Source organism: Homo sapiens, chromosome 5, assembly GCF_000001405.40.
Source record: "Homo sapiens chromosome 5, GRCh38.p14 Primary Assembly".
NCBI lineage: Eukaryota > Metazoa > Chordata > Mammalia > Primates > Hominidae > Homo > Homo sapiens.
The window spans coordinates 75,890,114-75,917,623 of record NC_000005.10 but is presented as its reverse complement, the minus strand read 5'-3'; the positions used below and the strand labels follow the sequence as shown (position 1 = coordinate 75,917,623).

The 27,510-nt window shown below is 41.0% G+C and overlaps 1 protein-coding gene and 1 pseudogene across 1 annotated transcript in view, besides 1 other annotated feature; both read right to left on the bottom strand.

Annotated features, from left to right (window-relative positions):
• The window catches only part of SV2C (synaptic vesicle glycoprotein 2C), a 506,476-nt gene that overhangs the window by 436,316 nt on the left and 42,650 nt on the right, over positions 1 to 27,510 (bottom strand). The window lies entirely within an intron of this gene.
• Positions 524 to 782: a silencer, noted in NCBI's record as "fragment chr5:75212667-75212925 (GRCh37/hg19 assembly coordinates)". NCBI's record gives its function as "represses an EF-1alpha promoter that drives an FKBP-Casp9 reporter gene in an ReSE screen in phorbol 12-myristate 13-acetate-treated (for megakaryocytic differentiation) K562 erythroleukemia cells {active_cell/tissue: K562(+PMA)}" and the evidence as "EXISTENCE:reporter gene assay evidence [ECO:0000049][PMID:32094911]".
• BIN2P2 (bridging integrator 2 pseudogene 2) lies at positions 5,456 to 7,042 on the bottom strand (annotated as a pseudogene).

The following is a 27,510-nucleotide window of genomic DNA, read 5'->3' as shown; positions in this document are numbered from 1 at the left end:
CAATTGTTTTGATTTTTATATCTCCAAAATAAATGAGAACACCTAATATTTGCCTTTCTGTGCCTGGCTTATTTCACTTAACATAATGACCTCCAGTTCCATCTGTGTTGTAAGGTTATGAGATTTACATAGATTATTATATGTGAAAAGTGCCTGATTCTGTGAAAGCTCTGTGGTCAATATTTATTTACTGTTATTTCTCTTCTTTTTCTTCCTTAGCACAGTGTCAAGCATAATTCACTCTGATATAGTGCTAAACCTAACTTGTACATGTCAGAAGTTATATACAGGCAGAGAAGGTAAAAATGCTACACATGCCTGTCAGGTAGTCATGCTGCTTCCAGAGGCCAAATTCACTGTTTGGGTTTTTTAAAGGTTTGGTGGCAGGCTGGTTAAAAAAGAGTCTGCTATTTTGAAAAAAATAACTATCTTAATTTGGATTCTCCTAGAAGCAGAACCTGAGACAAAGATTAAAGTACAAATAGTTTCACTGGGAGGTGATCCCAGGAAATCTCCGTAGAGGAGTGGGAAGGGAGATAGGGAAGGAAAGGCAGTGAATAAAGGCTGTGTTACCAAGCAAGTCCTGTTGTTGGCAACTAGGGTTCAGTTCTCTGGGGAGCATTTGGAGACGGTGGAGAATCCACAACTCAGAGTTGCTTCCACTGAGGGGTGAGGAGGTTGGGGTATTTGTCCAGGCACCTGCCAACCTTCGTTGGCTGAAAGCTACTCCCAGGGCATCACTCCTAGGTATTTTCATCCTGCCCAAGGCTGGCACTGGGGGAACAGCCCATTCCCTGGCCAGAAAATCTCCAGAAAGGTGTAAGTGCTGGAGGTAAAGAAGATGATGAGGACTGGGCATGGTAGCTCATGTCTGCAGTCCCAGCACTTTGGGAGGCCAAGATGGGTGGATGGCCTGAGATCAGGAGTTCAAGACCAGCCTGATCAGCATGGTGAAACCCCGTCTCTACTAAAAATATAAAAATTAGCCAGATGTGGTGGTGTGTGCCTGTAATCCCAGCTACTCGGAGGCTGAGGCAGGGACAATCACTTGAACCTGGGAGACGGAGGTTGCAGTGAGCCAAGATTGTGCCACTGTACTCCAGACTGAGCAACAGAGTGAGACTGAGTCTCAGAACAAAACAAAGAGGAGGAGGAGGAAGAAGAGAAGGAGGAGGAGGAGAGGAGAAGGGGAGGAAGAAGAGGAGGTGGAGGAGGAGGAGGAGGAAGGGGAAGGGGAAGGGGAGGAGGAGGAAGGAGGAGGAGAGGAGAAGGGGAGGAAGAAGGGGGGAAGAAGAGGAGGAGGAAGAGGACGAGAAAGGGGAAGGGGAAGGGGAGGAGGAGGAGGAAGGTGAGGAAGAAGAGGAGAAAGAGGACAAGGAGGAGGAACCAGAAGGGGAAGGGGAGGAAGAGGAGGAGGAGGAAGAGGAGGAGAAGAAAAAGAAGCATCTTCTGCAATGTTCAAAACGTTTTGACTTGCCACTGAATGATTGTGTTGACTGGAGGTGTTTTCATTCTTATTAGAAGTCAAATAAGATCATATAATACCACAGACCTTGATGTAAGTAATTCTCTATTGCCTGAAAGATATTTCCATTCCTTAGCCTGACAGTCCAGTTCTTCCATGAGCTAGCTCTATACTACCTGTCTCTCTCCACTCCTTGATAAGACCCCTTTTGCAAGCACGCAAGAGCCCCAGATGCATATTCCTACCCCAAGAATTATATTCATTCTCTTTCTCCTGCTCAGAATGTCCCCTGCCTTGACCAGTTGCCCCTCTTCAAGGCCCACATCAAGCTCTAAGCCTTTCGTTAAGCATCTTGACCACATTCCTGGCCTTAACCTACCCATTCCTGGAGCTTCTTGTCTGCATCACTCATTGAGGACCTTGTACTCCTTGCCCTCCATGGTTTATCATCAAGTGAACAATCCTGTCTCTCCAAGTGGACCACAAATCCTATTCTCATGAGTAGGGAGACTGCATGTTCCTTCTCGAAATAGCCACATCCTTTTTATTTTCACGCTTTCAATAGTCAAGTGCTTAACAAATGTTGAGTTGTTACAGTGACCTGTGTTGCTCATATCTAACTATATATTAGGCAGTCATACCTCTTTAAGTGCAATGAAGTCTCCCTGAAGTATAATCCAGGTTTCTGAGAACCAGAAAGCTTAACTGATTCAACAATTACCTTGAACTTTAAAAGGAATTACTAAAAAGTGTTTTAAGGAATCCTACTTACTTCATTGTTTGGCAGCTTCTGCATATCAGGTCCCTTTGCATTTATTGGCATTTATTGCTGTAACATGAAGCAGCATGGTGTCATGATTAGGAGTATGATTTCAGGCACCAAATAGATGTGGGTTAAGAGCATGGGCACACTGATAGTTGTGACCTTGAGCAAGGGAAATAGCCTCTCTATGCCTCAGTATGTTCACTTGTGAAATGGTGATATGGTTTGACTGTGTCCCCACCCAAATCTTATTTTGAATTGTGACTCCCACAATTCCCATGTGTTGTAAGAGGAACTTGGTGGGAGGTAATTGAATCATGGGGGGATCTTTCCCATGCTGTTCTTGTGATAGTGAGTAAGTCTCAAGAAATCTGATGGTTTTAAAAAGGGGAGTTTCCCTGCACAAGCTCTTTTTCTCTTGTCTGCCACCACATGAGATGTGCCTTTCACCTTCTGCCATGATTGTGAGGCCTCCTCAGCTATGTGGAACTGTAAGTCCATTAAATCTCTTTCTTTTGTAAATTGCCCAGTTTCAGGTATGTCATTATCAGCAGCATGAGAACAGACTAATAAAAATGGGGATAGCATTATCACATCCATAAGTTTTCATGTAAAGCATTTAGCTCAGGCTGTAATAATAGAAACCACTCATTACATGTTGACTATCATTATAAGATAGATCAATTTTATATTATAATATGTACCCAAAATTAAATTTAGATTTGGATATACATTAGCAAAAATTTCAGTTAATTGTACTCTCTCCTATTAAGGAGTACAGCTGGAACTCTCTTAATACACCTTCACTGAACCAATTCACAAAATTAACAACCACTCTCCATTCCCTCTGTAACAAATGCTGACTAACACTTGTGGGAGGCTGAATTCTCCACATCAGGAGGCCATGCTTCTGGACACAACCTATTACTTCTGTTCCCACCTGTGGAGCTGTATTTTCACTAAAGATTCAGCTGGGTTTACTCCCAAACCTGGTTATGCTAGTTCCCTTCATCATAATAATATAATTTGATTGAATATTACTCAAACTGACAAAATATGGGTATGAAAAAGTAGTAATTATGTTAATAAAAATATAAGTTGAATATTTTGGAAGGAAAAATAAATTTGGTAAATGTTTAAATGAATGAGGTGTGGGGAAGGCAGCTATAAAAGAACTCTAGAAGAGTTCTACACTCACATTTTGTTTTTGTTTTTGCAGGAGGCTTTAAATCCTCATTGTACTTTAAAGATGAAACTGGGAATCATAGAGAAGACAATATGGGGTTAGCTTACACATGAAAATGATGCAGAGCCATGATTAGCCAATTCATGCTCAATGAAAAGACCTTAGACCCACATTGGCAAATGGGTGAATAAATGTACATGTATAGGTTTCAAGTTAAAATATAATGTTTAAGGTGTGTTTTTTTTTTAACTATTCTCATTTATGGCCTATTTGATTTCTGACTAGCTATGATCTTTATCACAATAAAAATATTTCTTCCCTGGTTTGCATTTCCATACAAAGGCTGAAATATAGCTTAGCCTCACTTGTAGGCTAAAAGCCCTGTACAAGTAATCTAGCTTTTTGAGAAGAATCCAGAATCTTTTGCAAATATTCACCTTAGGGGCTGCATTTTGACAGCTCCATTTCTGAAACAGGGCCAAGAGATGGTTCACCAGTCCTGGTCTCCCCAGTTACTTTTCAACACAACCAACCTGCACTCTGGGAGCCAAGAAGTCTCCAGAATGTTCAGTAGGAGCATCCCTATCCCAAGATGTGGTCTGGAATTAGTCTTGTCATCTTACACACAATATACATGTGGTGAACTTGGACCTCTACGTACTTTATGAAATACAGCCTCCTCCACTCCAAAACTGTCTAGGTCTACCTAATCCCTAACCCTTTCAAGGCTTTCTAATCATTTCCCCGCTTTCCAGCACCTGGACTTAAACCCTCTAGGAGCTCACCTGCCTGGGACCCTGAGGCTCAACTTGCTCTTATTTATAGCATGCTTTGTGAGCTAGAACTTTCCCCTAGATACAATGGCATATTCAGAAGCATGATACAGTTATCTTCCTGATTTCAAGTGTGGTCCATATCTGGAGACTCCTAATTTATATCCTACTCGCTGGATCAGATCCTGGGGACCTCCATACTGGCCAAACCCACTTTAACCCTGCTGGTTAGGATACTATCACTTGGAAAGCCCTGCTGGTTAGAACACTATCATTTGGAGAGCACTATCATTTGGACTAGATTCCTAGGCTGGGTCCAAGCCTCTGACTCCTTATCCCTCACTGGCCTATTCCTGTGGCATGGTTTACCTCATGGGAAACCTAGTATGGATTGACTATGCCATGAATGAGGGCCATTCTTGGATTCTTGCCTTCATGGCTTCCACCATATTCTAAATCAAATACACTCTCCTGCCATTTGGGAAAACAAAGAGTTTAGCCTATTCTAGGTTTATTCCAACTCACCTGGCTTGATCATCTTCTTGGGCAATGTAATTTTAGGATACAGACCAAAATCTGTTAAGCAAAAGTACCTTACTTTGGATTTATCCTGAAATAATTCTGCAGAAATTTTCTGTGGAAGACTTTAAAACAATCACCTGTTTTGGTTTGTTTCCTCTCCTCTACTTCATGAGCTGTTACCTAAGAATAAGAAGAAACATAATAGGGCTTTCCAGAGTTTTCATGTAAGGGCCCCCACCCTCATATCAAGTAATGTTTAGAGAAATGGTATGAGGTCAGAGCAAGAATGGGGTCATGTCTGATCCTATCCTACATACTAGTTATACTTGCTCCAATAGTTGCATATTTTTTGACATTTTTTACAGTCAAGAGTTGTGGGGGGTTTTCTATTTCAATAAGGAGAAAAAACTATTTTATTTTCGTTTTTTGAGACAGGGTCTTACTCTGTCACACAGGCTAGAGTACAACGCTCCACCCCACTGCAGCCTTGACCTCCCAGGCTCAAGTCATCCTCCCGTCTCAGCCTCCCAAGTAGCTGGAACTACAGGTGCCTGCCACCACACCCACCTAATTTTTGTATTTTTTTTGTCAGAATCAGACTTTATTTAGCAATCTGAAAATGCGTTCTTCTGGCTTTAAGTCTTGCAAAATGGGTCATAAGTCAAAGACAGATTTGTTCACTATCTCTGAGTATGTGTGCTTATGTTTCTGTATAGACAAGTGTCTGTCTATAGATGCTTTTGCTTTTTATAGTGATTATAGTTCCACTTTAGTTAATGTATAAAGTCTTATTCTAATAATGCTAAAACCTGAATTAAGTATTCCTTGAGTCTAATGTTCTCTTCTCCTCAGCCTGCCTCACTCCACCTCTCCCATAAGTCTTCTCCTCCGCCTCCATTAATGTCAGGTCTTTAGAGAGCACCAGCATTCCTACTGAGAACCCAGGGATGGTTGCTGGCTCTTATATCTCTCTGACCTATACCCTCTGGTTGAAGAGCTTCTTTGGGGAGGTGTGGGGTGAGAGGAGTCTTGGCAGTTTCTCTTCAGAGTTGTGCATTTTCACTTGTAGATACCTATTCTTGAGGTTCAGGTGCTGTGAGGTTGCTCTTGTCTGGTACTGTGGAGACTTAAAGCTGGTCTTGGCCCTCCGAGGAGTCAGCTAAGACAAGCTTATTATCCTCTTTCTTGTCTTCCATCTTCTTTGCCTCTCCAGGCTCTGAAGCAATCTGAGATGTCATTAAGGTGGGAAAAGTGCAAAGTTCTTCGGGGTTCTGATTGTGGATGTTTTCATTTTCTTTGACCTCAGGAGTTCTTACTGGCTTCTTTTGTAGTTCTGGATTAGGGGAGAACTCTAGGGAGGTACTAGGACTTGGAGTCTCAGTCCCCAAGGAGACCCTAGGGCCAGTGGTTGAACCCCCTCCAGAGGCTGGAGGACTGGAGGGTATGTTCCCTGAGGAGGGCCTGGGGTTTGGAGTGGCTCTGGGTGGAGGAGGCCTACTAGGGGGTGCTGACGTCCTCTGGATATAGGTTCTCTTCTTTGGTTGTTCAGATCCTTCATTTTCTGTGCGGGTTTGGAGGACTACTTCTGTGGCAGATGATGAAGGCTGCCCTGAAGGGCTCAGGGTTCTGCCTGGTGATGGAGCTGGGGAGCTAGGGAGAACTTCCTCCTGGGACTTGCCACTCCCAATGGTAGGAGAGGGCTGGGCCTGGGCAGGGCCATTGCAGGCTGGTAGAGGCTCTTCTTCCTCAGAGGAGCTTGCTTCAGATCCTTCCTTCTCTATTTCCTCATCTTCTAAGTGCTCCTTGATCTCAGAATTATCTTCCCCCGGGCTGCATCAGGTTCCAGATCTTCAGTTGTTGCGACAGATTCACTCTCACTCTTCAAGGAAAGTGTAGAGGGACTAGTAGGTGAGGTAAGAGGACTGGAGGCCATAGATGTTCGAACTGGGGGATAAATGACTAAAGAGAGCCTGCTGCTGCTTGATAGTCCCTTCACCACAAAGACTTTGTTGGAATGTTGCTTCTGCAGTTTGCTCATCATCTCATAGAGATTGCAGTTCAGCTTGCTCATTTCCCTGTAGAAGACATCCCTCAAATTGGAAATGTTTTGGAAGATGGTCACATAGCAGCCAACATGACTGTTATAAAGAATAGGCAGCTCCTCTAGTAGTTTTTGGTTCAGATCTTCAAACATAGTCTGGGCTTTGTTGAACTCTTCCTCTGCCTTGGCAGTCTTGGCCTCGTCTTTCTTCTTGGCATTCTGCACTGCATCCAGGTGATGTTGGGCACCATCATAATCCACAAGTTTTCAACCCCACTTGGCAATTCTCTCCTCAATCTCACTGAACTGGGTGAAGTAGTAAACCAAAGGTGAACAATTTGAACAAAGCCCCAACAACTTCTACCATCAACAGGCAGAAGACCACAAGCTATACAAGGACCTCAAGAACTTCCTTAGTGCAGCTGAAGTGATGCATGAAAGTTCAAAAAGAGTATCAGAAACCCTGCAGGAAATCTACAGCAGTGAGTGGGATAGTCATGAGGAGCTGAAGGCCATCGTAGGGAATAATGATCTCCTTTGGGAAGACTACGAGGAGCAACTGGCTGACCAGGGTGTGAGGACCATGGAAAACTAATTTTTTATTTTTTGTAGAGATGAGGTTTCGCCATGTTGCCCAGGCTGGCCTTGAACTCATGCAATCCACCTGCTTCAGCCACCCAAAGTGCTGGGATTACAGGCTTGAACCACTGCACCTGGTGACAAAACTATTTTAAACTGGAGAGAAGTGGATGGAATCAATCAAAGGTTTGTTGAGCCTACTGTGTGCACTGATTCACTCATCCCACAAGTATTTATGGAGTGTCTGCTCTGTGAAGTCCCCATGCTGGGTGGGCCCTGCCTGAAGATGCACAAACTAACAACAGGGAATAATCCTGTTGACATGGAGTTTACTGGGCAGGACAAACTTATATCAAACACCGGCTATTATTGTGTCTGTGGATGGATCATCCTGACATCTTGGTATTTCAGTTGCTGAGTGGTGATTGTATAATTTTTGTGATTTTTATGTCTTTTGTGAGGAGGATGGGCAAATAGGTACAATTTTACCATGTATTATTTTGGAAGTTGGGAGGATAAATGAAAGAGATGAAAGATAGGTTAATTGGTTTGCATATTTAACAGTAGCTTACAGGAAAAAGGAGTTAAAATGAAAGGTCAAAATGAGAATTAAAGAGAAATGTATATTGATGCTATGCATGCTCTCCTGGTTTTCCAACAGCAGTTTAATGGAAAATCAGAAACAATTTTACCACTTTACAATAGTTAAACAAAGAAAACATTACCAAGAACAAAACCCTCCCTCTGCTACCTTGAGCCCACTTGTCTCCCCTCTTGCTGGTGTCTCTTTCTCCCACAGACAACACTTTCCAGTCCTGGCACTCCTACAGTATGTCAACAGAAATAAAAGTGTGTGCCCAGCAGCTACAATTAGCTAGTCACAGAGATTGTGAAAACCCATTCAACTCCCTGGTTTAGACTAAGTGGCATTTTAAATATATCTGTGGTACTAGAGGAAAAGCAGGCAGGAACAAAGACGCCAGTACTGTCTCCAAATAAGAACAAGGCTTCAGTGTCCCTCCACTGGGATAGCAAAAGGATTCAGGACCCTGACACACATGCACAGGTGTTTTCTTTTGCAGACCAATTTGGCCACATTTTGCTGTGCTTTGCATGGCACCGTGGAAATCAGTGTGGTCCCTTAGGAAAGAGGAATGGAAGATCTGTCAGGAAACCTGGATTCTGGAGCCAATGCTGTGACTTCCTTGAGGCTTCTAAGTCTCAACTTTTCTGCCAAGTGAGGACAGTAATGTTCAACTTCTTACCTCTCAGCACAGAAATGAAAATTAAATGGGTTAATATGTCAAAGTGATTTTTCAAATCGTAAGGAATGATACCTATAGGAATCATTAACACTGAATGACATTGTTGAATATCAAAAGTTTTTCAATGCAAAATAAGGCAACTACATAAGAGTTTATTATACACGATTATGCTGCAAATCTCTGCACTGCTGCAGAGGTTATCTAGCACTTGAAGAGGTACTGTTTGAGGCTGGTGGAGCCAAAACCACTGACAATGATAAATCTACAGTGTCAGAGGAAAGGACAACACAGGAACTAATGATATTGCAAAAGGTGCTGAGTAGTCAGCATAACCAAATCCAGATGTCCATGGAAGAAGGGCAGGGGGCATTTCTGACAATTGAAATTTACAAACCAGCCCTGAGCCACCATCAAGTGAAAGACGTCTCTCCCCTTCCTACCATATGGCCAGAGTGACTTACAGGTAGTTCAACCATGGGACAGGTTTGGCCTCATTGCTTTCCTTGCTCACCTGGCACATAAAACTAATAAAAATTATTGCTGGAAACAATCCAAATGTCCCTGACTGATGAATGGATGAGCAAAATTTGGCACATCTCTATAATGGAATATTATTCAGCCATAAAAAGGAATGACGTACTGATACATACTACAGTGTGGATGGATCTTGAAAATACGTGCTAAGTGAAAGAAGTCAGATACTATGTGACTGGTAAGATACATAATGTGTGACACAAAAGGCAACATATTATGTGACTCCATCTGTATGATATGTCCAGAACAGGCAAATCCTAGAGACAGAAAGCAGATTGGTGTCACCTAATGCTGGGGAGTTGGGGGAAAACAAGAGCAACTGCCAATAGCAGGTGTTAAAAATTATCTAAAAATTGATTGTGACAATTGTTGCACATATCTGTGAATATACTAAAAACGATTGAATTGTGTACTTTAAATGGGAAACTTGCAATTTTTTTTTTAAGTCACGTTCCCTCTCTGACCTGTTCCTAACTAACACTGGCATTCTCTGGCCAAGGCCAACAGCATCACACAGTTAAATCCACTCTCTCCCATTAGTGCTCCTATGAAGAGATGGCTGTGTGTGCAGGGGCAGGGCTCTGAAACCTTATCGCAGACCCATGCTGCAGTTCTCAGGCGAGGCTTCCTCAGGGCACTTTTAATAGTCTGTCTTCCTTCAAGCCTCTATTAAATTAGAACAATTTAGGTATTTTGGTTTCTCTGTTTTCTTTCATGGTCTTCTCAGAATCAGATTAGAGAGACAAAAATAAACAAACTCTCTGCTTTTCAAAACCAATGACTATTTAAAATGGATCTGTCTCGGTTAGGGACAGACAGCCTTGGTCCCAACCAGTAGCCACTAGCTGACATTTCTGCACAAACCCACAGTTATCACCTTTGCTCTTACTTATGCCTTATGATGTTTCCCATTTACCCAAAATAGGTCATTCTTATTACTCTCTCTCATGGGCTCTTCTCTTTCTTAGCAGTTTTGTGTGGGTGTTTGCTTATATCCCCATATCCCATCCTCCCCCCATCCCACCGCGCTGCTCCATAGCCTGCAAGGGTTACCACAGTGTAGCAGCTCTGACAGTGAAGTTCACATTACTGGCCCCAGAACCTGGCACAGACAAGACCTCCAATAAACATTTACTGAAGACATAATAAAGCCCTCAGAGTGCTGCTTTGGAGGTGAGCCATGATCAAGATTGCCTCATTTCCTTTAAGTAATAAGTAATATTTAGTCAAAAGAGTCTGAGCTCCTCCACCTGTCCTTAAACCAATTTGTAGTGAGCACACATTTTCTCCCAAGTGTTCTTCCCTTTGGAGACCACCCATCATCTATGGAGTCTTGAGGGGTTGGTCATTTGGCCCCACACCTGGTCAATGATATGGCCAGTGGTTGTTATTCTGGCCACTTTGATTGGCTAAAGGTTGGGCACATGACCAAAACTTGGGAGATTGGAGTCCTCTTGAAACATCTCCACCAGCACTTTCAGGAGAGATGTTCTAAGACAGAGTTTCTCAATATCAGCGCTCTTGACATTTTGTTCTGGATAATTGTCTGTTATGGGAGCTGTCTTGTACATTCTAGGATGTTCAGTAGTATTCCCAATAGATGCCAGTAACAAGCCCCAGTTGTGACAACCAAAAATATTTCTAGACATTGACAAATTTCCATGGGGGTGGGGTGCAAAATTAACCCTAGTTAGGAACCACTGCTGTAAGATGTGCCAGTGAGGACAAAATAAACTGGACTTGCCTGCATCTGTGCTCCTTGTGGCTCCCTGGAAGGAAGCTTCCATGGAGAAGCCATCTGCAACAAGAGAAGTTGAAGTCAGCAGAAAAAGAGAAAGAAAGCTGAGATGTGGAGAAAGAGACCTAATAATATCTGTTAAATTTCACTTGAATTTGATTTTGGGGGGTTACTTGCAACTAAAGTAGACTCTTGACATATATAATCCATCCATCACCTTAATCCATAACAATCCAGTTTTTCTTCTAGAAACCCATTTGCCTATTCTAACCGAATAAGATGAGCTGGTCAAAAATGTCCATGATTAGGAAAAAAAAAAAAAAAGCAGACATGAAAACCTCCTGCCCATCCTTGGATACATCTTGATCAACTTTTGCATTCTTCATACCTGTTTTAGCACAGTGTGGGACACAAAGTAGCTATCATCCAAAGGAGGTAAGAAAATTTCCTGGCACTGCTGTAACAAATTATCACCAATCGAGTGGCTTAAAGGAGCAGGAATGTATTCTCTCACAGTTCTGGAGGCCAGAAGTCTGAAATCAAGGTGTCAGCAGGATTGTTTTTCTCTGGAGACTCTGAGAGAAGCCTTTTTTGGTTGTCACAACTGAGGCTTGTTACTGTCATCTACTGGGAATGCCTCTGCTCCATGCCTTTCCTAGCTTCTGGTAGTTACCAGCAGTCCTTGGTGTTCTTTAGCTTGTAGCTGTGCTGTTCCATCTCCACTCTCATCATCACACGACCATCTTTCCTGTGCACCTCTGTGTATGAGAGTCCTCTCCTCTTATGAGAACATCAGACACTGGACTTAGGACCCACCCTATCTAGTATGACTTCATCTTAACTAATTAAATACACAAAGACCCTATTTCCGAATAAGGTCACATTCTGAGGTTCCAAGTGAATGTGAGTTTGGGAGGATGCTATTAAACCCTGTGCAGATGGCAGAACAATACCTTATATTTGCAGAAAACTTTACAGTTTCTAAAGCATTTTTAAGAAAAGAAATAGGGCAGACAGTTATGCAAGTCCCATTTTTTCAGGGAGGCCCTGATGATAAGTGAAGAACACTGAGCTCCATAGAGTGAGCTAGAGAACCACCTGACACCACCAGCTGGGAGACTGGAAATGAGCTGGACATCCCAACTGCAGACCACTATCCCTCTCTTCTGTACTCTGCCTCAGTTTTATCTGCAGCCTCAGCTCAGGGATCTAAAAGCTTACTACCTTGTTTTAAGAGCCATCTGAATTTCCATTTGGAATTCTATCCAAAGCAATACACCACCAAAGCCAGCCAAAGAAGCTGCTATTTATTTTTCCAGTTTATTTTGCAACATGGGCATACATCTTTTAATGCATATATTAATCAAACTGCTTTCTAGATGCTTTGACCCAGAAGCTAAGTTCAAAGACTCCAGCAAGGCACTGGCAATGGCAGCCAGAATCTTGGCATTTGACGGTTATTACATATCAAGGGTCTTTGTTCTCATGTGATCACTAGCAGTAGCTCCTGGATGGAAGCAAATGAAAAAATAGAGGTAACTTTGCCTTGCTTCATGGACATATCCTGGAGTAACAAAACTCAGCATCACTAGAGAATCTTGGAACATTCAAGAGTTCTTTAAAATAAAATAACTCATGACTTCATGATCATAATATAATATGGCAGGACTAAAATCTAAACTGAAGCTAAAAGTAGAGTTCTGGGAACACATTTTGAAGCACGGTCATTTTTACCTCCAGTTATCAGTGATAATCATTTGAAGTGTTGGATTATCTCCAATCATTCTTGCTTTCCAGTAAGAAATAGGACTTGAATTTCATTTGTCAGAAGGGACTCTGTTTTCTCTCTACTTACTGTCAGTATCTAGCCAACTGAAGAATTTGACAGAGTGTTAATTCTCGCTAAGATATACTGTCCTTAGGTAGCAGTTATTCATCAAAGCAAGACTACAAATAGCACTTTAAGTGAGGATTTACTAAAGTCAGTTTTCGCATTGTAGACATTAGTGCTGCCTATGTCTACGTTTATCTAGAGTTAGGATGACAGATGGGAACCATGTTTTCCCTAGGATCCAGTCCCAGAAGTTATGGTGTAAGCTTGGGAGGAAGACATGAAGGCAAGCTCATTGAGTTGTGCAGACAGATGAATCATTTGTTGGGATTCAGGGCTCCATTTTACATTTACTCCCCACATGGACAGATAAATTTGTTCTTGACGCTCTGGACAGGGGCAGCCCATCCTCACAGCTCTGATCAATTTGCACCAAGAGGGTGAGAAGTCACAAGACACTCAGAGTTGCTGGGCTATTTCACTGACCACCGACAGCCTCTCTCTCTCTCTCTCTCTCTCTCTCTCTGGGTTTGTTTTGTTTTGTTTTGTTTTGTTTTTTTGAGGACTGTGGCTTCTGAGACCCCTGATTCCAAGTAATCCAGATCAGAAATATCTTAAGAGCCCCCATTCAGTGAGCTGGTTCTTTTTGCCTTCCAAAGACCTGTTGTCAGCAAACAAAATACCCTCGCCAAAATAAATGATATTTTTATATGCAGGACTTTAATCACCTGAATCAGGAAAAAAAAGTTTATCTCTCCCTAACCTAAAAACCCACCAAACTATATCAAAACTACCAAACATCCATTACTGAGCTGTGAAGAGCACATATTTGGTCTTGAGCTATAATGTGTAATTCAAGCTTTAAACACACGTGTGCTTACGTAAAACTCTATAACCACCCCCCAGAAGATTTTATGCCATGAGTACACCTTTCACAACACTGTTAATTCATTACTTTTATTTTTTTCTTTGAATAAAAGAGGAATGCAAGTAGAAAACTGAGTTGTAAACAAAATTTTAAATCTCAAAACAGAATTCCGAAGATAAAGTTGATAATTCTGCCATGAGAATAATATGTAATTGTCAATAATTTGGGTGATGAGGAAATGTAGAAACTTCCACACAAGAAGAGAGTATGAGTCAACAATTTACAAAGTTGAAGTCTAAAAGAAATGCTGTGTCAAAATTTGTAACACCCTGAAGTAAATGGAGAAGGTCGACATGAGCTCATTTACCATAATCTGAGCTGTGAGAACAAGGGTCTCATCATCTTCATCGTTGGTGGTTCTCAAACAAATGGAAGATTTTAACAAGACTGTGCAGGCTGAAATTCTAAACAGATTTAATACAGTTAGGCTTCAGGTTAATATGCAGGATGCTGAGAGTACTGCAGTGGAATGAAAGAAAAGTTCGGGATGGCTGGGAGAAAGTGTAGGTCACACTTGTTTTGAGAATTTGGTGTGAAAAGACTGTCATTAGCAAAGACAAAAACCTGTGAAGAATAAACCATAGGTTCAACAGAAAATGATATAAATTTCTTTTTTTTTTAAAAAAAAAAACACCTTTTTGTGGTACCTCTCACTCCTACACACAACACTCAAGGGTCCTATCACCTTTCATAATCTTGGACAAATCAGGTCATCCAGATGGATTTCAGTTATGCATGTGTACACAGTGAAAGGTTGAATAATCTCTAAGGATACTTTGAGCCCTGACATTCTATGCTCTTATTCTTTAGAATCATTTTGGAATACTGGAACAATGACAGACCCTGGAATAAGAGAGACAAGTATTTAAATCCTAGTTCTCTTCCTTAATAGCTGTTCACTTTTGAATAACTACTAAGTTGTTCAAAACTATGTAAGTTTATTGAGCTCAAATTTCTTAACTGAAAAATAAAAACAAGAATCCATCTCACAGGATTTTATGAAGATTAGCTCTAACATATATAATATACCTAGCCCAGTGCCTGGCACCCAGTGCACAGTCAACATTAGCCTTTTAGATCATCCTGCTCACCAGTTCCCCTTCCCAGCTTTCTTCACATCTTACTGAATAGACTTGCTTCCCAATACAACATCACACATCCCATATAAATACCTCTTTTCATCATGCTAACTTTGTAATCATTTTGTTAGCCCTATTTTAGTTGATCAACTTTATGCAAATCCCAAAACAAATGCCCAGCAAATTATGAGCCAGTTTCATAATGTTAGAGTCCAAAGGGAAGGGAAGACATAAAAGTCTGCACTAAAAACCATGGCTCTTCCATGGCTATGGCAAACTACAATGGAAACAGATTTCACAGTTTGGAAATTATCAGAGGCAAAATAGACCATTTGAGCTCTGGGAAAAGCATTTCAACCCCGAAGGATAAGAACAAAAGGAAAACAGTAACTACAACAAATGGCCAAATCCAAAGGTTCCTTTTTACCTGGGTTGAAGCACAGAAACCTAGAGGTGAAAGGGATGACAGCTAATCCAGACTCCTTGTTCTATAGATGGAGAAATTGCTTGCCCACTCATTTCTTAGGCCCATACAGCACCTTCTGTGAAGGCACAGTAGCCTGAATTTCTTGCACACAGGGACATAAGATTTCCTATGTGTTAGTGTGAGTGTCTACCACCTTATTAAGAAAGAAGACCCAGATTACTGTTCAAAAGCAAGTGGTTAAGAACTATCCAGGTGTGAGAGCCAAGATGGCCGAATAGGAACAGCTCCGGTCCACAGCTCCCAGCGTGAGCGACAAAGAAGACGGGTGATTTCTGCATTTCCATCTGAGGTACCGGGTTCATCTCACTAGGGAGTGCCAGACACTGGGCACAGGTCAGTGGGTGCAGCACACCATGCACGAGCTGAAGCAGGGTGAGGCATTGCCTCACTCAGGAAGTGCAAGGGGTCAGGGAGTTCCCTTTCCTAGTCAAAGAAAGGGGTGACAGACGGCACCTGGAAAATCGGGTCACTCCCACCCGAATACTGCGCTTTTCTGACGGGCTTAAAAAATGGCGCACCAGAAGATTATATCCCGCACCTGGCTTGGAAGGTCCTATGCCCACGGAGTCTCACTGATTGCTAGCACAGCAGTCTGAGATCAAACTGCAAGGTGGCAGCAAGGCTGGGGGAGGGGCACCTGCCATTGCCCAGGCTTGCTTAGGTAAACAAAGGAGCCGGGAAGCTCCAACTGGGTGGAACCCACCACAGCTGAAGGAGGCCTGCCTGCCTCTGTAGGCTCCACCTCTGGGGGCAGGGCACAGACAAAGAAAAAGACAGCAGTAACCTCTGCAGACGTAAATGTCCCTGTCTGACAGCTTTGAAGAGAGCAGTGATTCTCCCAGCATGCAGCTGGAGATCTGAGAAGGGGCAGATTGCCCCCTCAAGTGGGTCCCTGACCCCTGACCCCTGAGCAGCCTAATGGGGAGGCACCCCCCAGTAGGGGCAGACTGACACCTCACACGGCCGGGTACTCCTCTGAGACAAAACTTCCAGAGGAACGACCAGACAGCAGCATCCTCAGTTCATGAAAATCCATTGTTCTGCAGCCACCACTGCTGATACCCAGGCAAACACAGTCTGGAGTGGACCTCCAGCAAACTCCAACAGACCTGCAGCTCAGGGTCCTGTCTGTTAGAAGGAAAACTAACAAATAGAAAGGACATCCACACCAAAAACCCATCTGTACATCACCATCATCAAAGACCAAAAGTAGATAAAACCACAAAGATGGGGAAAAAACAGAGCAGAAAAACTGGAAACTCTAAAAAGCAGAGCGACTCTCCTCTTCCAAAGGAATGCAGGTCCTCACCAGCAATGGAACAAAGCTGGACGGAGAATGACTTTGACAAGCTGAGAGAAGAAGGCTTCAGATGATCAAACTACTCCGAGCTACAGGAGGAAACTCAAACCAAAGGCAAAGAAGTTAAAAACTTTGAAAAAAGTTTAGACAAATGTATAACTAGAATAACCAATACAGAAAAGTGCTTAAATGAGCTGATGGAGCTGAAAACCAAGGCTCAAGAACTACGTGAAGAATGCAGAAGCCTCGGGAGCTGATGTGATCAACTGGAAGAAAGGGTATCAGTGATGGAAGATGAAATGAATGAAATGAAGTGAGAAGGGAAGTTTAGAGAAAAAAGAATAAAAAGAAATGAACAAAGCCTCCAAGAAATATGGGACTATGTGAAAAGACCAAATCTACATCTGATTGGTGTACAATCAGATTGGTGTACTACATGTGAAAGTGACGGGGAGAGTGGAACCAAGTTGGAAAACACTCTGCAGGATATTATCCAGGAGAACTTCCCCAATCTAGCAAGGCAGGCCAACATTCAGATTCAGGAAATACAGAGAATGCCACAAAGATACTCCTCGAGAAGAGCAACTCCAAGACACATAATTGTCAGATTCGCCAAAGTTGAAATGAAGGAAAAAATGTTAAGGGCAGCCAGAGAGAAAGGTCGGGTTACCCACAAAGGGAAGCCCATCAGACTAACAGCGGATCTCTCAGCAGAAACTCTACAAGCCAGAAGACAGTGGGGGCCAATATTCAACATTCTTAAAGAAAAGAATTTTCAAACCAAAATTTCATATCCAGCCAAACTAAGCTTCATAAGTGAAGGAGAAATAAAATCCTTTACAAACAAGCAAATGCTGAGAGATTTTGTCACCACCAGGCCTGCCCTAAAAGAGCTCCTGAAGGAAGCGCTAAACATGGAAAGGAACAACTGGTACCAGCCACTGCAAAATCATGGAAACTGTAAAGACCATCGAGGCTAGGAAGGAACTGCATCAACTAACAAGCAAAATAACTGGCTAACATCATAATGACAGGATCAAATTCACACATAACAATATTAACTTTAAATGTAAATGGAATAAATGCTCCAATTAAAAGACAGACTGGCAAATTGGATAAAGAGTCAAGACCCATCAGTGTGCTGTATTCAGGAAACCCGCCTCACATGCAGAGACACACATAGGCTCAAAATAAAAGGATGGAGGAAGATCTACCAAGCAAATGGAAAACAAAAAAAGGCAGGGGTTGCAATCCTAGTCTCGGATAAAACAGACTTTAAACCAACAAAGATCAAAAGAGACAAAGAAGGCCATTACATACTGATAAAGGGATCAATTCAACAAGAAGAGCTAACTATCCTAAATATATATGCACCCAATACAGGAGCACCCAGATTCATAAAGCAAGTCCTGAGTGACCTACAAAGAGACTTAGACTCCCATTCAATAATAATGGGAGACTTTAACACCCCACTGTCAACATTAGACAGATCAACGAGACAGAAAGTTAACAAGGGTACCCAGGAATTGAACTCAGCTCTGCACCAAGCGGACCTAATAGACATCTACAGAACTCTCCACCCCAAATCAACAGAATATACATTTTTTTCAGCACCACACCACACCTATTCCAAAATTGACCACATACTTGGAAGTAAAGCTCTCCTCAGCAAATGTAAAACAGAAATTATAACAAACTATCTCTCAGACCACAGTGCAATCAAACTAGAACTCAGGATTAAGAAACTCACTCAAAACCACTCAACTACATGGAAAATGAACAATCTGCTCCTGAATGACTACTGGGTACATAACGAAATGAAGGCAGAAATAAAGATGTTCTTTGAAACCAACAAGAACAAAGACACAACATACCAGAATCTCCGGGACACATTCAAAGCAGTGTGTAGAGGGAAATTTATAGCACTAAATGCCCACAAGAGAAAGCAGGAAAGATCCAAAATTGACACCCTAACATTGCAATTAAAAGAACTAGAAAAGCAAGAGCAAACACATTCAAAAGCTAGCAGAAGGCAAGAAATAACTAAAATCAGAGCAGAACTGAAGGAAATAGAGACACAAAAAACCCTTCAACAAATTAATGAATCCAGGAGCTGGTTTTTTGAAAGGATCAACAAAATTGTTAGACCGCTAGCAAGACTAATAAAGAAAAAAAGAAAGAAGAATCAAAAAGATGCAATAAAAAATGACAAAGGGGATATCTCCACCAATCCCACAGAAATACAAACTACCATCAGAGAATACTACAAACACCTCTACGCAAATCAACTAGAAAATCTAGAAGAAATGGATAAATTTCTCAACACATACACCCTCCCAAGACTAAACCAGGAGGAAGTTGAATCTCTGAATAGACCAATAACAGGATCTGAAATTGTGGCAATAATCAATAGCTTACCAACCAAAAAGAGTCCAGGACCAGATGGATTCACAGCCAAATTCTACCAGAGGTACAAGGAGGAACTGGTACCATTCCTTCTGAAACTATTCCAATCAATAAAAAAAGAGGGAATCCTCCCTAACTCATTTTATGAGGCCAGCATCATCCTGATACCAAAGGCGGGCAGAGACACAACCAAAAAAGAGAATTTTAGACCAATATCCTTGATGAACATTGATGCAAAAATCCTCAACAAAATACTGGCAAACTGAATCCAGCAGCACATCGAAAAGCTTATCCACCATGATCAAGTGGGCTTCATCTCTGGGATGCAAGGCTGGTTCAATATAAGCAAATCAATAAATGTAATCCAGCATATAAAGAGAACCAAAGACAAAAACCACATGATTATCTCAATAGATGCAGAAAAGGCCTTGGACAAAATTCAACAATCTTCATGCTAAAAGCTCTCAATAAAATAGATATTGATGGGACGTATCTCAAAATAATAAGGGCTATTTATGACAAACCCACAGCCAATATCTTACTGAATGGGCAAAAACTGGAAGCATTCCCTTTGGAAACTGGCACAAGACAGGGATGCCCTCTCTCACTACTCCTATTCAACATAGTGTTGGAAGTTCTGGCCAGGGCAATTAGGCAGGAGAAGGAAATAAAGGGTATTCAATTAGGAAAAGAGGAAGTCAAATTGTCCCTGTTTGCAGACGATATGATTGTATATCAAGAAAACCCCATTGTCTCAGCCCAAAATCTACTTAAACTGATAAGCAACTTCAGCAAAGTCTCAGGATACAAAATCAATGTACAAAAATCACAAGCATTCTTATACACCAATAACAGACAAACAGAGAGCCAAATCATGAGTGAACTCCCATTTACAATTGCTTCAAAGAGAATAAAATACCTAGGAATCCAACTTACAAGGGACGTGAAGGACCTCTTCAAGGAGAACTACAAACCACTGCTCAAGGAAATAAAAGAGGATACAAACAAATGGAAGAACATTCCATGCTCATGGGTAGGAAGAATCAATATCGTGAAAATGGCCATACTGCCCAAGGTAATTTATAGATTCAATGTCATCTCCATCAAGCTACCAATGACTTTCTTCACAGAATTGGAAAAAACTACTTTAAAGTTCATATGGAACCAAAAAAGAGCCTGCATCGCCAAGTCAATCCTAAGCCAAAAGAACAAAGCTGGAGGCATCACGCTACCTGACTTCAAACTATACTACAAGGCTACAGTAACCAAAACAGCATGGTACTGGTACTAAAACAGAGATATAGATCAATGGAACAGAGCACAGCCCTCAGAAATAACGCCGCATATCTACAACTATCTGATCTTTGACAAACCTGACAAAAACAAGCAATGAGGAAAGGATTCCCTATTTAATAAATGGTGCTGGGAAAACAGGCTAGCCATATGTAGAAAGCTGAAACTGGATCCCTTCCTTACACCTTATACAAAATTAATTCAAGATGGATTAAAGACTTACATGTTAGACCTAAAACCATAAAAACCCTAGAAGAAAACCTAGGCATTACCATTCAGGACATAGGCATGGGCAAGGACTTCATGTCTAAAACACCAAAAGCAATGGCAACAAAAGACAAAATTGACAAATGGGATCTAATTAAACTAAAGAGCTTCTGCACAGCAAAAGAAACTACCATCAGAGTGAACAGGCAACCTACAAAATGGGAGAAAATTTTTGCAACCTACTCATCTGACAAAAGGCTAATATCCAGAATCTACAATGAACTCAAACAAATTTACAAGAAAAAAACAAACAACCCCATCAAAAAGTGGGCAAAGGACATGAACAGACACTTCTCAAAAGAAGACATTTATGCAGCCAAAAAACACATGAAAAAATGCTCATCATCACTGGCCGTCAGAGAAATGCAAATCAAAACCACAATGAGATACCATCTCACACCAGTTAGAATGGCAATCATTAAAAACTCAGGAAACAACAGGTGCTGGAGAGGATGTGGAGAAACAGGAACACTTTTACACTGTTGGTGGGACTGTAAACTAGTTCAACCATTGTGGAAGTCAGTGTGACGATTCCTCAGGGAGGGATCTAGAACTAGAAATACCATTTGATCCAGCCATCCCATTACTGGGTATATACCCAAAGGACTATAAATCATGCTGTTGTAAAGACACATGCACACGTATGTTTATTGCAGCACTATTCACAATAGCAAAGACTTGGAACCAACCCAAATGTCCAACAATGATAGACTGGATTAAGAAAATGTGGCACATATACACCATGGAATACTATGCAGCCATAAAAAATGATGAGTTCACGTCCTTTGTAGGGACATGGATGAAATTGGAAATCAGCATTCTCAGTAAACTATCGCAAGAACAAAAAACCAAACACCGCATGTTCTCACTCATAGGTGGGAATTGAACAATGAGAACATATGGACACAGGAAGGGGAACATCACACTCTGGGGACTGTTGTGGGGTAGGGGGCGGGGGGAGGGATAGCATTAGGAGATATACCTAATGCTGAATGACAAGTTAATGGGTGCAGCACACCAGCATGGCACATGTATACATATGTAACAAACCTGCACATTGTGCACATGTACCCTAAAACTTAAAGTATAATAATAATAAAATAAAATAAAAAAAGAACTATCCAATTACTGACAATTTAGATAATATATGCATACATAAATTATGTATGTGCATTTTGTATGTGTGTATATAGTGCAAATGTATTTAATATATAAATAACAGTTCTATCTTTATAAGATAGGTTCAAATAGAAACCCTAAAGGTACTACAATAAAAATTAATGTTTTTGTGGAAAATTTCAATTCTGAAGCATTCTCCAGATATTTTTAAATGCAACATTAATCCACATGCTCCGGGAGTCAAGACAGAGCCCCCAAGCTCAAATAATCCAGAAAAGGTCACCTTCTCTACTCTCACATCACCCTTGACAGGAGTGAAAAAGAAGCAACAGAATGCTGCATGCATGTGGCATGAGGCCCACACCTCCAAAAAACACAGCCCAGGCCCATGAATTGCTTGGAAACCATGAAGTCTGAGCCCATCATGCCCTTCATCACTTTTCCCATCTGTTACAAAGTCTACTAGGTTATCCATCATCCCGACTCTAATCTCTGAATTATTTTGGGCACTGAGGCAATTCCCCACCATCATGCTTCCTCCCCAAAATTTCTATTTGGTTTTTAATTAAACTACTTTATGTCACTTTACTGATATTCTCTATTTGGTGACAGCTCATTCTCATATTTTTCTTTGATTCTTTAGACATAATTTCCTTCAGTTATTTGAACATATTTAAAATAGCTGATGTAGAGTCTTTGTATAGTAAGTCTAATGTCTGAGCTTCCTCAGGGACAATTTCTATTGATTGCTTTTTCTCTTGTGTGTGAGCCATACTTTCTTATTTATTTCAATGTTATATAATTTTTTGTTGGAAATTGGACATTTTAAATAACATAGCATGGGAACTCTGGAAATCAGATATTTTTCTCTTTCCAGGATTTGTTGTTGTTGCTGCTGTTGTTGCTGTTTGTTTATTCAGTGACTTTTCTGAAGTAATTCTATAAATACTGCATTCGTTGTCATGTGTGGCTGCTGAAGTATCTGCTTGGTAAGCGTAGTGATCAGCTACTAAGTAGACAGATATTTTCTTTAATGTATGAAATCAATAAGTCTTTACCAAGAAACTCCGTATGCATCTTCAGAGAGGCCTTCAACACTCCGTCAGTCAGTTTACAACTCTGCTTTAGCACTTACCTCCTGCCTGTGCACAGCCTTAAGGTCAGTTAGAGGTGAGAGCACAAGTCCTTCTCAAGTCTCTCCTGGGCATGTGCACAGCCTTACACATGAGCATGGCCTTCTAGATTCCCAGGAATGTGCAGGACCTTTTTAAAATGGCTTTTGGTCATTTCATTTCCCAGATTTTCCTTTTAAGCTTTTTGATTGGGCTACTGTTTGGTCAAACTGTTATCTATCACCTCAGGTTGCTAGGATATTTAACAATTGCCATTGATTGTTTTTGACAAATCCTCCCGGAGAAAGCAGGCAAGCTCTGACTCAGGTTAAATAAAAACAAACATTGTGAGTGGGGCCTTCCATGAAACCACCAGACAGGTCAAATAATGACAATTCTCTGTCAATGGAGCTTTGAAAGGAGCTCCAAACACACTTTGCTCCCTCCAGAGACTGTCCAGCTGCTGGTTTTCACTGGCATCATGAGCTGTTATTTTTCAATACTACCACAGAGCTAGAGAGAACAGGATCAGAATAGGGCAAATTAAAATGCCACAAAGTCCATGATTTTATAAATATTTATCTAGTTTTCTTGTAAAAACCACTCTCTGGATTGCTGCAAACTTTTAATTAATTTACAGAGTTCTGGGGAAGCTGATCCTGACAAGTATGCCAGTGTTCTAATTGTTTTTATAAAGAAGAGGATTTTTGAAAGTCCTTACTCTGACATTCTCACTGATATCCCTCTGGGCTAGAGTACTGCCACAGCCATCTAATTGGTCCTAGTGCCTCCAGTCTGTCTTCTCTCCAATCTGTCTGTATAATGCTGCCAACGTAATGAATAATTCTAATGATGTCCTCCCTCGCTTAAAAACCTACAATGGTTTCCCATTCCCTTCACTAAAATTGAGATATTTTACTGTGGAACAAAAATTCTCCATGATCTGGTTCCCACCTACCTTGCTGGCTTCATCTCCCACAATTCACCTTATTTTCCAGTCAACTGGACTGGCTGTCATTCGCAGATCAAAATCCCTGGCTCCTTGGTGACGTGTCTGATCTTTTCAGCAAGAAGTTCTCTCTTTCCCCACCTTCTTCACTTCCAGAGACTTTCCACTGCTTTCATATGGCAGGGTAAAGTACATTTGGTGGCTCAAAACTCAATGGTTTTTTTCTATAATTTCAACTTCTATTTTAGATTCAGGAGGTACATGTACACATTTGTTACATGGGTATATTATATGATGCAGAGGTTTGGGATACAATTAAACCCATCACCCAGATGGTAAGCATAGTACCCAATAGGTAGTTTTTCAACTCTTGGCCTCCTTCCTACCTCCCCACTCTAGCAGTCTCCAGTGTCTATTGTTGCCATCTTTATGTCCATGAGTACCCAATGTTTATCTCTCACTTACGACAACATGCAGTAGTTAGTCTTCTGTTCCTGCATTGATTTGCTTAGGGTAACAGCTTCCAGCTGCTTCCACGTTGCTGCAAAGGACATGATTCTGTTCTTTTTTATGGCTGCAAAACCTCAGTGTTAGACCCAAAGACCCTTTAGTTAGACCCAAAGAATCTAGAATACTTTACAGACCTCATGATGGTACATTTGCATATATCCAGAATCTCCAATGATCTTAAAAAAATCAACAAGCAAAAAACAAATAATGCCATTGAAAAGTGGACAAAGGGCATGAATAGACACTTCTCAAAAGAGGACATACAGGTGGCCAAAAAAATATCAAAAAATGTTCAACATCACTAATCATCAGAGAAATGCAAATCAAAACCACAATGAGATACCATCTTACACCAATCAGAATGGCTATCACTAAAAAATTAAAAAATAACAGATGTTGGTGAGGCTGCAGAGGAAAGCGGATGCTTATACATGTTTGGTGGGAATGTAAATAAGTTCAGTCACTGTGGAAAGCAGTTTGGAGATTTATCAAAGAACTAAAAATAGAGCTACCAATCATCCCAGCAATCCCATTACTGGGTATATACCCAAAGAAAAATAGATCATTCTACCAAAAAGACACATGCACTCATATGTTCATCACAGCACTATTAACAGTAGCCAAGACATGGAATCAACCTAGGTGTCCATGAATGGTGGATTGGATAAAGAACACTTGATACATGGAATACAACGCACCCATAAAAAGAATAAAATCATGTCTTTTGCAGAAATATGGATGCAGCTGGAGGCCTTTATCCTAAGTGACTTAACACAGAAACAGAAAACCAAACACTACTTATACTCACTTATAGGTGGGAGCTAAACAATGGGTACACATGGACATAAAGCTGGGAATAAGAGACACTGGGGACTACAGAGGGAAGATGAGGAAGGGAGCCAAGTGTTGAAATCCTACCTACTGGGTACTATGCTCACTACCTGGCTGACAGATTTAATCGTACCCCAAACCTCAGCATCATGCAATATACCCATGTAACAAACCTGTACATGTGCTCCCAAATCTAAACTAAAAGTGGAAGTTGAAAAAAAAAGAAGGGGTAAGTTTGATATTTCATAGCAGATAGGATGACTATACTTTAAAAAAATGTGTTGTACTCAGGTGGCAAACACCCTAGATACACTGACTTGATCACTGCACATCGTATACATGTAAAAAATTTCTCATGTGCCTCATAAATTTGCACAAATTAAAAAAAAATTTATTAAAAAAATAGGGTAGTGACTAATGTGACATGAAACACAGCAAGACCCAAACCAGGGAACATGAAGATACACAATACCAGGGAAGAAATGGATTCCTTTAGCCTCTGAGGTAAGAGCTGGAGTTTCAGTGCAATGCCAAAATCAATTCTGAGGAATTTGAATGAGAGATTACCAAATGCTATGAAAAGCAGTTAAAAAGGTTCTAACTTTGAGATAAAGATCAAAGTTTAGGAACCTGGGAATCAGGGAGTAATAGGAAACAGGTGATCAGATTTTGCTGGGGAGGTCAGGGTTTATCTGGCCCTAAGCTGTTTTTAATGGACCAGGGACCATTGCAGGCCCCTCTAGCATCCGATAGATCTCTGCAACATGAATGGGTGGTGCTGGCTCACAGACTAGATGAGACCTTAATACAGACAAAAAGGAAGAAAGAAATTTACTCTACAATTCAATTATGCTAGTCAGTGGCACATTCCTTTCCCAAGTCACAAACACATTTACATGGTCTGAGATTGCAAGGCTGATATCTCAAAAATAAATTTCTCAAATGAAAGAAAATGGATTTTAAATTGCAGAGGTAACATTTCTATTTCATGCCATCTGTTATAACTCAAGTTTTTCCAGCTAATGGATTATTCATCAGAAACGATGAAAACATTTTTGAGATCAAAAGTATGTTATTGGAAAGAAAGATATTCAAAAATGTTAAGATAATTTAAAAGTATTTACTCAATATAGTTTTTCTCTTAAAACTTACAGATATTGATTATGCATCAGTGTACTTGGATAAACCAAAATGATGATATATTAAGCCCTTTCCTCAAATAAACCTAGAAATGTGAGTGAACATGTTATCTATTTTACAAATCTCTTTGCACTACTACTAAAGTGTGGGCAGTTACATGAAGAGAGTTCTACCCTGTAGATTCCCTTCAAACTCACATGATAGACAAAAGTAGCTGACCAAAGATTAGGAGACCCAGTTCCTGGTTATCTCTCTGTTTCCCCTCTGCAGACACAGTTAATCCCAGTGGTCTAATCTGATCAAAGCAAAAGTCTCAAAGTCCCTGGTTTCCATCCCAACCAATACTGACTGCTGATTTGTATCAGAAAACAATTAGGATTTCCTAAATTGGGGCTTGCACAAGTACCTCAGAATCAGAAGGAATCAAGACATTCAGTCAACTACATGGTGTGGTTAAGAACAAGACACAAACAAAAAATAGGACGAGATATCTACCATCAGCCTCCCTACATAATCAACACAGCAACGTTGCTCAGAGGAGAAAATGAGATTGCAGTAATATCTTGACTCTAATATCAACATACAGCCAACCAGAAACAAATGGTAGGGGAAGGCTTTCCCTAACATGATAGTTAGAAGGCAGCCATTGAGTGGTCTATCCTCATTCACCTCTGCTGACACTGATGTAGAAGCTCTCTCACCCACCTCCACTGCAGGCCTAGCCCTACCCACATAGTGAGCAAGTACCAAAGTCAACAAATGACTAACTGTAGCATTCTAGCTTAGGGCAATTCCTATGCTCACTTCATTAGACATCACAGGAGCCTCGCAATGGGAGACTAAACAAAGAGGTATAGGACTCTGGAAACCCCCAATTCACAGAAATGCATAAATGTCCTCCTCTAAGCAGGAGATAGACCTGGTGGCATCTATCTGGGTGTTGCCATCATGACTTCAACTTCTGATGTTCTTTTTCCTTTCTTTTATCAGTGATGGAATGATGGAAATTTATAGAAATAAGGAGTATAGGCATTTGGGATTGTATGCAGGTAAGCACCACCTTTGAAGGCTTCTAGGCTGTTGCCACACTCCAAAGCAATGGCTAGGCTTTGTCCCCACTCTGCCTTTCCTAGGAGAAAGTGATTGACACACTATCCTGTAGACTATAACTGTATTCTATGTATAATAAAGATTTACTACAATGGGAGGAGGTTTGCTAACACTTGCTGCTTTGCTGAACAAGTGTACCTGCTTTGCAAAACATTGACCTAGGCAAATGAAAGAACAGTGGCACGCTCCTGGAGTGCTGACTTCATTTTCCTTCACAATTTAAAGTCTACATTGTGGGTAATTTTAGCATTCATTATGAAAATGTGGCTACCTTTAAATATA